The 14,404-nt window shown below is 35.9% G+C and overlaps 1 protein-coding gene across 4 annotated transcripts in view; it reads right to left on the reverse strand.

Moving 5' to 3' along the window:
* Positions 1-14,404, reverse strand: part of FNIP1 (folliculin interacting protein 1) — a 155,304-nt gene that overhangs the window by 60,623 nt on the left and 80,277 nt on the right. For 3 of the 4 annotated variants that reach the window (NM_001346114.2, NM_133372.3, NM_001346113.2), the window contains 5 exons: positions 14,229-14,320; positions 8,242-8,325; positions 6,865-6,936; positions 4,075-4,210; positions 1,729-1,930 (listed from right to left, as the gene is read on the reverse strand). In NM_001346114.2, coding sequence (NP_001333043.1) covers positions 1,729-1,930; positions 4,075-4,210; positions 6,865-6,936; positions 8,242-8,325; positions 14,229-14,320 — 586 coding nt within the window. The remainder of the gene's footprint in view (positions 1-1,728; positions 1,931-4,074; positions 4,211-6,864; positions 6,937-8,241; positions 8,326-14,228; positions 14,321-14,404) is intronic. The other variant, NM_001008738.3, reaches the window with a different exon arrangement.

Consider the following 14,404-nt stretch of genomic DNA (forward strand, 5'->3'; position numbering starts at 1 on the left):
TGGCTAATTTTTAAATTTTTTTTTGTAGAGACCGGGTCTTGCCATGTTGCTCAATCTGAGTTTTTTTAAATGGGCATATAATTTGAAAAATGTAGACACAGCACAATCCCTACCAAGTAAAAGCACAATATGCATAAAAAAGGCCTAAATAAGATTTTTCAGCAATGAGTTACTGTGTTCCCTTTGGGTGGCAAGAATGTCGATTTTCTTGCTATTCTGCTATATCCAATTTTCAGAGCTTTATGTTCCAAAACATCCCATACATCCTTCAAAATGCAGTCCAAATGAAACTTCTTCCCAATAGGAAGTCATTTCACTTTCCCCCAAATTTCTAAAAAACCTTTGTCCTTCCTTTTTAGCTTAGATTCTAATATTTCACAATTTACTATACATATTTGTATCGTATATACTATCTCAGTAGCAACTGACAAAAGTGATCACTCCTTCCTTGAAATACTTTCTGTACTTGGCTTTCCCCAAAAGAATACACTCTTGTTTTTTCTCCTAATTGAATAGCCAATCCTTTTCCTTCGCCTCTGCTGGTTCCTTCTCATCTCGTCAAACTCTTAATGTTAAAATGCACCACAACTCAGGCTTACCATTGCCTGTCCTCTCTTGCCAATCTCCATCAGTTTCATGGCTTTAAATACCATCTATACACTGATGACTTCTCTGGTAAACTCCAGACTCATAAAAACACAAGGATGTCCATATGCAAATATAAAATACCCATCTTCCTTTATCAAATCTGTTTCGCTTGCAGTCTTTCTCACTTCAATGCTGGCAACTTCATCCTTTTAACTGCTTGGCTAAAAAAATCTTAGAGTCAACCTTAATGATTAGTCTACCAGCTAATCAAACTGGCTGTTTTCAAAATATATCTAGAATCCAACTCTTTCTTACCAATTCAATCACTAAAGTGGTTTGCGTATTCATCATCTGGATTACTGTAACAGTATGCTAATTGGTCTCACAACATCTACTTTTGCTCCTAGAAATCTATTATCCACCAGCAGTAAGAGTGATCCTCATAAATAATGTCCTTCTTCCTCCACTGAAAACCCTCCAATGGTTTCCCATCTTTCATACTTTTGTAAGAATAAATGCTAATGTTCTTACAATGGTATCTTATAAGGTCCTACATGATCTAGTCTCACTTCAACCTAGGCACCTTGGCCTCGTAATGCTGCTTAAGTATCAGGCTTACTCCTGCAATAAGGCCTTTGCCCCTGCCTGGAATATCTCGTTCCAGATGGTTGTAGCTCACCTGCTCCGTATTTCTGGACCACATTCACATGTCCTTTAATAAGGGGCATTCCTGACTAGCCTATAAAAATTAGTAATCCTTCCTTGCAGGATCCCTTATATACCGTTCTCCGTTTTATTTTTCTTCACAGGACTTATTACATACATCTATATTCATATGTTTATTTGTCCCATGAGGTCAGAAGTGTTGCTTTTATCACTTCTCTTTAGTTGGTAGAACGGTGTCTACCACATTTTAGTCCCTCAAATATTTATTTACAGAACAAATGGATGAATGATCTTATATCTTTTACTAGACAGTAAGCACCTTAAAAAGGGTTCAATCTATTTGCATCCACCAGAGCACTTTATAGGACACATGCACAACGTCTGTTAATTTTTCTGCCAAATTAATAAATATAATGCTTAATTGGGAGAATAAGATTTTAAAAGGAAAATACATAAATAAATAACTATGCTTACCTGTTCTATTGCACTCTTTAATTTGTTCATGTGGCTTTCAAAGAGAGGAAAATGTGAAAAAAAGAATTCATTAAATTTGTTATTTTCATCTTCATCTTTGGACAATGAAAAGATTACCCCAATTGCAATCTTCTTTTTCCGCACAATTCCTGGGTTAGGGCCACAGCTTTCATCTGAGAGATTAAAGCTTTCTTCTATAGACCTTAAAAATAAATGATTTTTTATTAATTTACAAAAGTAAAAATAAATTCACAATTTAATCTTCTTGCTAATTAAATGTAGGTAAGCTAAGTCTTTTGCTGTTTTATCAAACAAACCTATAATTTCATACCAATTGTATATCTCTTTAAGAAATCTACTGGCTATTCTTTCAGGTTCATGTTCTTGTAAGAAATTTTACTACAGAGTCAGATTGGGAACATTTTTTTGTCCAATTAGAAGTAACTAAAGAAGTAGATAATCCCAATTCATAATCAACCAAAAAGTGGCTAAATTTTAAGATTTATAGATGAGTCTGGTACAATCTTTTCCCTGTTCTAGGCCCTTCTGGTGTCTGTTTTTGATTTCAGGAGTAAAGTCAAAGATGAAGGAATAAAGGAAATAAAAAAGAGGAGAAAACAAGAACTTTTAGTATCTACAGTTGTACTTAATGTAGATTAAAAACTAATCTTTCAAGAATGAATTACCTTGCCAAAATAAAAACATGAAAAACTGAAATATCAAAACATGTAGTATATAAATCAAAGACCTAAACATAAAACTCTTAGAAGAAAACAAAGGGTAAAGGCATCATGCATCATGACACTGATTTGGCAATGGTTTCTTGGATATAACACAAAAGGCACAGTCAACAAAGGAAAAAAAAATAAACTGGACTACATACAAATTTAACCTTTTGTGCATCAAAGGACACTATCAATGGAGTAAAAAGGCATCCCACAGAATGTAAAAAAAATTTACAAATCATATATCTGATAAGGGATCAATATCTAAAATATATACAGAATTTCCAGACATCACCAACAAAGCAAAAAAATGCAGTTATAATATGGGCAAAGGACTTAAATAGACATTTCTCCAAAAAAGATATACAAATAGCCAATAAGCACAAGAAAAGATGATCAAGTCAGATGTGGTGCCTCATGCCTGTAATCCTAGCACTTTGGGAGGCTGAGGCAAGTGGATCACTCGAGCCCAGAAGTTCTACTAACCTGGGCAACATGGCGAAACCCCATCTCTAAAAAAAAAGAAAAAAAAAAAATTAGCCAGGTGTGGTGGCAAGCCTGTAGTTCCAGTTATTTGAGAGGCTGAGGTGGAAGGATCACCTGAGCCCAGGGAGGTTGAGGCTGCAGTGAGCCGGGATTATGCCACTGCACTCCAGCCTGGGCGACTCAAAAGGGAAAGAAAAGAAAAGAATAGAAAAGATGTTCAACTTCACTAATTATTAGATAAATGCAAATAAAATCCACAATGAGGAACCACTTCAGACTCATTAAGATGGCTATTATCAAAAAAACAGAAAATAAGTGCTGGTGAAGATATGGAGAAATTGGAACCATTGTGCATTGCTGGTGGGAATGTAAAATGGTACAGTAACCATGGAAAACAGTGTGCAGCGTGACAGTTCCTCACAAATTTAAAAACAAAATTACCATATGATCCAGCAATTCCACTTCTGGATATATAACCAAAAGTATTGAAAATGGGGACTCGAACAGATACTTGCACACTCATGTTCAGAGCGGCATTATTCACAATAGTTAAGAAGTGGAAGCAACCCAAGTGTCCATCAATAGACAAATGGATAAACAAAATGTGGTATGTATATACAACGGAATGTTATTCAGTCATAAAAAGGAATGAATTTCTGACACATGCTACAACATCGATAAACCTTGAAAACATTATGCTAAATGAAATAAGGCAGACACAAAAGGACAAGCAGTGTATGATTTCATTCATACAAGGTATGAATGAAAATTCATAAAGACAGAAAATAGAATGGTGGTTACAAGAGGAAGAAAAGGGAGAAATGAGGAATTACGTTGAATGGATACAGAGTTTCAGCTGGGAAGAGGAAAAAGTTCTGGAGTTGGATGGTGATGATGGTTGCACAACAATATGAAGGTATTTAAACAAATGTCACTGAACTGTACACCTAAAAATGGTTAAAATTGTAACTTGTTATGTATAACTTACCACAATTTTAAAAATGTAGTAAATTTTAAAAGTTTTCAGTTTCAAACTTAAAATACACAGAATACAAGTCCAGGTTCTAAAAAACCCATATAAAATTGTGTTTAAGGAACTACTCAATCTTGTTCTGTGTTTAAAGTTCCAACTTACCATCTAGGAAATACCCCATTTTCCAAACTTGTTGTTTGGCTGCGTCGCCAACGTCGCTGGTAGCTGCTGGCACAACTTCGGGTAAGTGAGGAGTTTGGGGAAGGAAATGGAGTGATCAGCAAGCTGCTGAGAGATGCTGTTAAGTCAGAAGAACAACAAGTATAAGTCAATAATGACTAAGCATAATGACAAATTTCTTTTTAACAAAATTACAAATAGGTTAAGTTAAACTTTATTTTGCTTCATGAGCCTCAAAAATGTTCATTAAAAGAACACATCCTTCTTGTAGCAAGGTCTCAGAGGAGAAAAATCATATATTAACAATGTATCAGCAAAAAACTCTGAGACAATCCCCTTTTGGCATTCCCCTCTAGGGACTCCAGAAGAAAATTATACTTTGCAACAAGGCATTATCCCTTTGGCCACTGGATTGACTGTCCCCTAACTCAGTTGAATCCTTTTAGTTCTTAAATTAAAGGAAATCTGATGCTATTCAAACTTAATGCAGCAGCTGGATTTTAAGAACAAGCTATTGAAAATAAGTGTCTGAATGGCATTTAAAGAGGTCATTTACAAGTATTCATGGATCACATGTGCACATGTAGTCAAACCTACCACTTTTAATTAAGAATCATGACTATACCTACTAAGCTCCAAAAAAAGAATGCTCCCTGGAGCATCTAAGGTGACAAACACATTCCAGCAGACTCCACTCTTTCACGGCTGCAATCCCCTGATCTTGGGGATGGATTATTCCCTTCCCGAAACACTTCTGTGAAATCTGTAAGATATGTTTATTGCTTGAGGTGTTAAGAGCTACAACTGCTGATTTTTCATTAGGCTAGGAGATTTTCATCAGGCTTTTCCCCACTGGATTTAGAGAGGATAACACTTGCCATTAAGGGCTTGCTTTTGTTTGGCAATATTCCAGACTTCTATCTTTCATGATCATAAGCACATACTGAAAATGTATATTCAAAACAGGGAACCATTATCATCACTATTAAAAAGGTACAGGCCAGATGATAAATTATTTTGGACACCAGCACTAAAAACTGAGACACTTTCATTATGAAGATCTATTCATTTGAATTCTGACAAATTCAATGATAGAGGATAAAGCTGTATGTGCCATGCAAACATGTAGACCATCAATGAACTCATTCTAAATTACTTTAGAATGCAGATTCTAAATGCAGACCACATTTTATCAATTAGTATTATAAACTCTTGTAGTCCAAGATTGGGTATGTACAACTAAATCTGGGTATGACTTCAGTGAAAAATAAAATGCTGTCCTAAGTTTGGAAAAAATACATTTCACTGCATTCTAATATTAAAAATAACCCTATTAGAAAAAAAAGAAAACACACATTAACTTAAATGGCATATATGAATCCAATAACTTGAAGCAGCCTAACAGATCAGTCTAGCCAGATGCTTCAACTTACAAAGAATGTAAGTATAAATAAATTATACTTAAATCTTAAATAAAATAATGAGAATTAAATTCCTGCCAGGGAAGACTAAATATCTAGATTACATCGAAGCAAAGTTTATTAAAAGAAATAAACTCTAGATTCTTTAAAACAAAAATAAGAAACTCAATTAGAAAAGAAAGATGAGATTACTTGAAAAACACAAGCTACTCTTATTAGAGTAGTGGTCGGCAACCCTAGCTATCCATTAGAATCAAGTGTTAGGTTTTGCATTTTGTTTTGTTTCACAAATACAGATGCCTAGAGATACCTTCTCTAGGTTACACGAGAGTCTTTGAAAGTAGAGTTCAGGCACTTGAATTTTTTATAAAACTTCTCTTTGTTATTCTAATACATACCTAGGGATTGCAATATACAGCAAGTTTAGATTTTTCATTTATACTCAAAACTGAATTACAAAACAATTTCGATAGCAGAGCCATATAATGTAACAACACATGCTATCACACTGAATTAAGTTTCTCATATCTAACAGTAATTCAAGCCTAAAATTACTCCTCCTTTTACTTATGCTGCTCTCTGGGCCCCAACAAACACTTTTCCTTTTAGCTAAAATGCTTTTCTGAGCTTTTGCCTGGATAACTGCTATTTATTTCTCAAAATACAACTCAATCATCATCCTTCTGTAAAGCATTGTTGGCATCCCTGCCCCTTGCCCAGGCTAAGTGTGGTGCTCTTTCGCTGAAGCTTTTTGCGCAGGCCTATCACTAAATGCATCACACAATGACCTATGACAGATGATTTTCCTAATTTTTCTCCCAGTAGACTCCATACATCTGTGTTCCGTAAGGGCAGACTCTGGGCTTTAATTTTTTTAATGTCCACCATGTTTCAATAAATGTTTGCTAGACCTACAAATTTTGGACAGGTCCATATTTGGAAAAAAAAAAAAAGTATAACATTGATTCAAAATGCCTATGCTTTTCTGGGCAAGAGACAATATGACAATTTAAACTTTAGTTAGCAGCAAGCAAATATAAGCAAACGTGTTTTTTTTTTACTACAGTTTCTAAGCAGTTTTTCTGACCAATGCTTTTCTTCTTATATTCACTAAGCTTCAACCAGTGTACTTTACTCTGGCTTTACTTCATCCTGGCTTTATCCTACTTAGCACACTTAAAAGTAAACATGAAAAATATTAAATTTATAAGACTTTGCTCTGGTCTTTTCACAGTTCTCTTGTAAGGCTAATATCAATATGAACAAATTTGATAATAAAGGGAGGGATAAAAAAGAAAATCAATGCCAACAGTAATCTCATAAAAAACTGAATACAAGAACGTGACATTACCAGACCGTGCTATGCCACTGTCTCTGTCCTCATTGAGCTCTCTTCCAGGCATGTCCATTGGGTTGCTGTGAACTATAAATAAAGATGAAACTGTCAGTTATAAAATATATTGCTATTCAGGTGGATGAACAGCTCCTTTTAAATAGCAAACGAAATCATGCTCATCTCATTGCATTCCCTTATTTTTTTCAATAGCATGGCACCAACCCAACACCAAGAGCTATTACTCAGTTGAACAAGCTTTGAGAGCTCTGTGAAGATTTGATACACAGTATAAGAATCTAAAACATAATATCTAAAGAAGCAAGGAGTGACTAAAAGTCATATTTTGGAAGCATATTCAGTGACATATTTATAATATACTATTAAATGAAAAAAAGCAAGCTACTGAACAGTATGAGTGCTTGCTGGGACCAAGTGGTGGGTATATCATAGTTCACTGTACTGTTTCTGCCTATAACAATGTATGTTTCAAAATTCTCTATAATAAATTGAGATATTTATTTGAATAGTATGATCCCCATTTTCTTTAAAAAACAAAAAAGCAGGTATTTCTGGCTGATAAAATGGCTAATATATATTTTTGCCTTTTAAAAGTGTTTTCCAAGTTTTCTACAAATATATATTTTTTATATCTAATATTTACAGGGAAAGAAAATATTAATCAAAACAAGAAGGGCTAAATTGATACCAATCTGAGAACAATGAAGAGTAAATGTGTTCACATTCCAGTAATTTCCACTAAAAGGTTACAATGTTAGGTAATCCGCTAAAATGTGTGAAAACAAGGAATATGATTAGAATCCTGGATATATACACATGAACATACTCTACAATCATCAACTTGATTATGTAAGCAAATATAGTCATATATGCCTTTTACAGAGCATTATAGTAGTGCTTGTTCATCTAAATCTTAGCTCCAAGAAAAACTGCTCTTATGGAATAGTGTAGATCAGAAATTTTACAATAATAACAAGATAGGATAATTTTCTGCAATTGGTGAACTATGGTACAAAAGCTACTCAGCCATGGAAACAAGACAGTGTCACATTAAAAATTCCAAGTGGTATCATAAGAAATAAAGTTCATATTAAGTTTTGGTTTCAGATTCTGAAGTTAAAATCATTATGCCACAAGAGAAATGACAAACTGAAATTTCATAAAAATGTCAATTCTACTGATAATCCGGTGTCTGGAAACTTTAAGAACATGTTCAGTAGAAAAGGAATTAAGTTTTTATACTTCCTAATGCAATGTTTTCTTAACCACAACCTCACCAACTGCATTCATCTACTCTCTTGTTTCCACAGCTTAACTACAGATTCTAGCCGTTGGGGCACACCAACTAGTCTACCCACACAGCACATCGCAAACCTGCAAAGAAAGAGGCGCTCCTGATCAGGCGGAGCGGACCCTGCTCAGAGAATGCCCGCCTGGGGCTGCAGAACTGTGAAAGACCTACATGGCAAAAACGTAAAATACACATGAAAGAGGACTGTTAGAGAAGCCACAATGCGTCAGGGAAAAAAGGTGAGCTAAGGCAGCACAAGAGCAGACCAACAAATATGGATGGAAACTTTTAAACTAAATAAGAATTCAAGCTGTCTTTCCCATTTTTGAAACAGGATGGTGTTTCTTTAGCCATGATTTATATGAAACAACAACTTCATGTATTTTTACTAATAAATCTATATGTAATAAAAACAAGCTTCTGCTATATAAAGTAAAAATTATTTTAAATGTTCAATCCTTTCTAATGTAAAGCAGTATTTTTAAAGATTTGAAAAAGTACGATAATGTTATCTATCTAATCTGATATTTGCCAAATAAATTCATTTTTTTAAAGTTGTTTGAAGATTATAGTATGTGCCTACAACTGCAGCGAGGAGAAAACCACCTAAGCACTTGGCACACAGCATACAACAGGGTGCAAAACCAGAAGAGATCTTACTGACAAATTAAAAATTGGTTTTTCTAACCCAGTTGTAAGTTACAAAGTAATGGAAGAAACCAAGGTTACTAAACCAGGAGTCAGCCACTGTGGAAGGAGGAACACAAATGAAGCTCATCAGGGACCAGACTCCCAGCTGTTCAAGAGAAGTGGCTGCCACATGCTTCATCAAGAAAAGGTAACTGCAGTCTGAAGACCCAAGAAGGACATTATAGCCTGAAAGCAAGCAGCTGGGTTACCTGTTAGTTATGCTTCATGAAAATAGTCTAAATAGCCATGAAGGACATTTAACTAGGATGGAATACGGGGCTTTCTGTTTTAAAAAGTGACAATTGCATGTTTCTTCTTTCCTTTTTTGAAACAGAGTTTTGCTCTGTCATGTAGGCTGGAATGCAATGGCATAATCATAGCTCACTGCAAGCTCGAACTCCTGAGCTCCAGTGATCTTCCCTCCTCAACCCTCCCCATGAGCCAGGACTACAGGTGCATGCCACCAGGCCCAGCTAATTTTGAGAACTTTTTAGTAGAGACAAAGTCTTGATACATTGCCAAGTTGATCTCAAATTCCTGGGGTCAAGTGATCCTCCTGCTTTGGCCTCCTAAAGTGTTGAAATTACAGGCATGAGCCACTGTATCCAGCCAACTGTAGTTTTCAAATTGCTAACAGATATTATTTTTCTGTAGCAAGAACTTCTATAATTACAGCACATGTACAGCAATCCTTCCATGTCTCAATGGTCAGCTTTTTAATTCGTCCTAGCTTTCTTTCCCTCGTTACTTTAAAAATTATCTACTTCTTCAAACTCCTTCCCTACCTCTTCTTCTCAGCATAAAACTTTTGTTTCCTAGAGTATGCACATGCATATATGCACATACACACAGTAGAATTAACCAGATTGGAACCCTTTTTTTTCCTATCACCCTGCTTCAAAACTTACTCTCTCATCCATCCTTGCCTCCTTCCTGCCTAAGCTGTCATGTTATTCAAGCCTTACAATGTGCTAGTGACTTATTAAAAAATCCTAAGTTCCTTCCTCCCTTCCAAAGTTAACTCTAAGTCAGCTAGGACCCCAATCCCCCATTCTTCTTCAAAAACCTCCTTCTATCAATTACTACTTCTAGTCTTTAATTTCATGCTCCTTATAACTTCCTTATTCTGTCAACACTTAAACACAATCAATTCTCTTCTACCACCCTCCATATATCTAATCCTACAGCAGTTCAGCAGTTCTCAAAATGTCATCCAAGGACCCGTTGGGTCCCCGAGACTTTCAGGGGGTCTGCGAAGTCCTCCATTTTCCAACTACATATCTGTGTGAGACAGGATTTTCTTGATACACTTCAACGAAAATATCACAAAAGACTGAATACAGACGCAGATATGAGAATTTAGCTGTATCCTCATCCACAAATTAAGGAGATTTGTAAAAATATAAAACAATGCCACTCTTCTTACTAATTTTTTGGAGGCCTGTAATAACATGAAAGGGGGTATTAGTGTAATTTTTCAAGGATTTACTAAATATTCTTCAATTTTTTGGTTGTAATTTCTAATAAAGTATTTATCAGTAGTTGTAATCCACATAAACAAAAGTTCTCTGCAGTCCTCAATAATTTCTAAGTGTGTAAAGGGTTCCTAAAACCAAAAAGTTTGAGAACGACTGCTTGCATCTTGGACAAAAGTCCAAACCCTGAGTCGTCCCATTCTGATGTCTATTCTCCCCACTGAAACTGCTCATCTAGGCCACCAAAAGCCTTCCTGTTGCTTAATTTAGTCCATATTATTTTATATTACCTTATAGCAGTAATTGATGCTGATTATATTACACTGTAAACTTTTTTCCCATGTAACACACTCTCTGTATTTTTCCCCCTCAGTCTTAGTCTGTGTGCCTCTCTTCTCCTACCCCTTTTTTTTTTGAGACGGAGTCTCGCTCAGGCTGGAGTGCAGTGGCACGATCTTGGCTCACTGCAAGCTCCGCCTCCCGGGTTCACGCTATTCTCCTGCCTCAGCCTGTAGCTGGGACTACAGGCGCCCGCCACCACGCCCGGCTAATTTTCTTTTGTGTTTTACAAAAGAATGGGGTTTCACCATGTTAGCCAGGATGGTGTCAATCTCCCGGCCTCGTGATCTGCCCGCCTTGGCCTCCCAAAGTGCTGGGATTACAGGCGTGAGCCACCGCGCCCGGCCTCGTACCCCTTCTTAAAGCCAGCATTCCCCAGGGTTCCATCTTCAACAATCTTTCCTTCTCATTCTTTACATTTCCTAGGTCATCCTCCATTCCCGTGCTTTCAATTATAATTTATGTCCTGATGATTCTCAAATCCACAGAAGATACAACTAACTGGTCAACTTCTATTATTTTTAAATTATTAAACACTCATCCATTTTTATGTTAAAGAGAATACCCTACAATATACCTATCTAACTAGCTAACAACAATGGATTTCTTCACTTGGATATTCCAGTACTTCCAACTGAACATGCCTAAACCTAAAATCATCAATTCTGATTTCTTCTATTTCCCTTAGTGAATAGCACCAATATACATGCAATTAAACAGCCAGCAAAGTGCCAAACTTGATTCTTCCTTTTGCCTCACCTCTTCTATTTAATTAGCTAATCTGGTCCACTCTATGTCCCTTAGCGAATTTCTCAACAACTATCCCCACTGACACTAATTTACTGTAGGTAACATTATCTGTCATTTGGAGTAACATGATCAGCCTTCTAATATGGGCCTTTTCTCAATCCCACTTATCTGAATCCATTCCTACTGCAGTTAGAATATTCTTCTACAGATACAAATGTAATCTGTGTTGCTATATTCCAAAAATTCCTCTGTGGTGACCTCGAGAATATATGTCAAAGATCTCCAACTATAAAGAGTATGTTGATTAAGAACACCTGCTGAAATCTATTGCCACATTTGTGCAAGGACACATAGCTGATAGGCTGCTCCCAGCCAATGGCTGAACACAGTAGGTATACAAAGGCAGGCCCATTTTGGGGAGACATGGGACACTTCTGACAACCAACTTTGACTCAAATACTTCCCAGGGCCTTGCTAACCCTCCCTTGAACTGTATAGCGGGCTGAGACACTTCCAGTCAACATTCTACCCCTCTCTCCTTCATTCATGGTCAGACTTACATCACAATTCGATGGGTCTCTCAGCCTTTCCCAGCATTTTCCTCATTTTCCTTTACATAGTCATTTCCCCTAATACAATTGTTGCATGTTTAATCCTGTCTTTGGCAAACCGTTAAAAAAAACAGGTAAAGGACCCGAACCAACACACCTGCACTGGTGCCCAACTACACTACACCAAGCATTAACTCTAAATTCCTCAGTGTGGCCTACAGTGTGTTTTGTGATCTAGCTTTTGCTCCATTCTTTCTTTTTCATTAACTTTACCCCTACTCTGTGCTCCACACATACTGATTTATTCACATTCTTTCCATACTCTATGATCTCTTACCCCTAGGTCTGTGTACGTACCACTGCTTCTTCATAGAACATTTCTTCCCCTAACCATCTGACTAATCCTTCAAGCTTAAGCCTCATGTCCTCAAGGAAGCCTTCATTGACTCTCCAGGACTGAATTGAGTGCTTCTCCTTATTTTAATCACACACTGCTTTTAACTCTAAGAATTTACTATAGTATACTGTAATTGTTGTATTACTTTTCTGACTTCCACTCACTATAAATCCATTGAGGCAGGAACTGTGTCTGGTTCACCACTGCATCTTCAGGGCCAAGCAGAGTGCTTGGTATATTACAGGTGCTCACCACATACTTATTGATTGATTGACTGATTGATTGGAAATTGAAAGAAAATAAGAAATGGTAGACACACACACAAAAAATCCTTGATTCACAATTAAAAGAGTGCAAGTAAATGTTGCTCATTATTTAAAGTCAGTAGTATGTAAAATGGATTTTCTACTCTATATTAAAAGTGAAGACAAGTATATCTAACCTCTATAGTATAATTTACCTTTATAAGTAATAATGGATTTGTGTTGTTAAAATGAATTCCTTTTGGCTGGGGCACGGTGGCTCACACCTGTAATCCCAGGACCTTGGGAGGCTGAGGTGGGTGGATCACCTGCGGTCAGGAGTTCGAGAACAGCCTGGCCAACACATCAAAACCCTGTCTCTATTAAAAATACAAAAATCAGCCGGGTGTGATGGCGCGTGCCTGCAGTCCCAGCTACTTGGAAGGGTGAGGCAGGAGGATCGCTTGAACCCGGGAGGCAGAGGTTGCAGTGAGCTAAGATCACGCCACTGCACTCCAGCCTGGGTGACAGAGTGAGATTCCATATCAAAAAACAAAAACAAACAAAAAAAACCCATAATTACTTTCAACTTTCAACAAGCCCCTTGAGCTTTGAAAAGTATCAAATTATAAAGAAAAGAGATTTCGTTATTTCTTTGTCACATTTTTCCTTTATTAAAATCAATGAAGTAATCAAACGAGTTAAGAAAATGCAGAACTTCTATTTTTCTATAACACACACACATTATAAAGTATATGCCTAACACTATGACTAGCCCACAGTAATAGGTGTTTTATAAGTGATTGCTCATTTGAATAAACACAAATTATAAAAAATAAATAATAGGATGTCATACAGTTCAAGTTGGAAGAAAAAACTTTTCTACTAATATATAACAAATATTTATTAAAATTAATTATAAATAAAAGTTCTTACTAAACAGAAAATGGAAGAAATATTAATACTATTCTAATTGCTATCCCATTCCCTTGGCTACTACATAGCTTTTTATGCACCAGAAGTATCGCAATACAGCAGCAGTTCAGTTGAGCTGTCTAGAAAAAATGACCAGAAATTTTAGAAAGTCTGTCACTTTAAAATGTGGTACTTAAATAACAACAATCAGCTAACCAAAGTACTAAATAAATTGTTATTCTAATAAATCTTTTAAGAAACATCAAATTTGAACATCTGCTCATCTGAGTTACAGGTCACAAAAACAAGCATCATTTTAAAATAACTTTTATGGTTATGGAAGACAGAAGGAAGAAGGTGTAATAGTCTTCCTCAGCTGAAATAGCCAAAAGAACTACTAAGGGCTTTTCTTATCACTGACACCTTTCAAAGATGCATCAAATTTAACAACGAAAAACAATGAAGACAAATTAGATATATCTACAGCAGTACTCTTTATCAGATACAAAATAAATATTGTGTTCAAATATATGAAAAATATGTTTTCCAAATAAATGTTATACATACTGGCAATTTAAATGCCTCTTCCACTTACAGTATTTGAAATTCTTTGTTATCATGACAGATCTGCATTATTAAGGAATAACTTCAAAAAACACTTGTTACCCTGCTAGTATTTTTTAAACTTATAAAATCAAAGGAACCATTTACCTATATTTCCAAGCAGTCCATTAATAACTGTGTTATTATCAGCCTTTAATGTATTGTTGTCCTGATTGATGAATTCAAGACTATCTTGTAGCCTATGGAGGGTGAGAAGAAAATTAATTCCAAATTCATTTTATGGTTTAAGGACAATTCTTTGTACATCCTGATGAAATTTTAAG

Source organism: Homo sapiens, chromosome 5 (genome assembly GCF_000001405.40).
Source record: "Homo sapiens chromosome 5, GRCh38.p14 Primary Assembly".
In the NCBI taxonomy this organism is placed as follows: domain Eukaryota; kingdom Metazoa; phylum Chordata; class Mammalia; order Primates; family Hominidae; genus Homo; species Homo sapiens.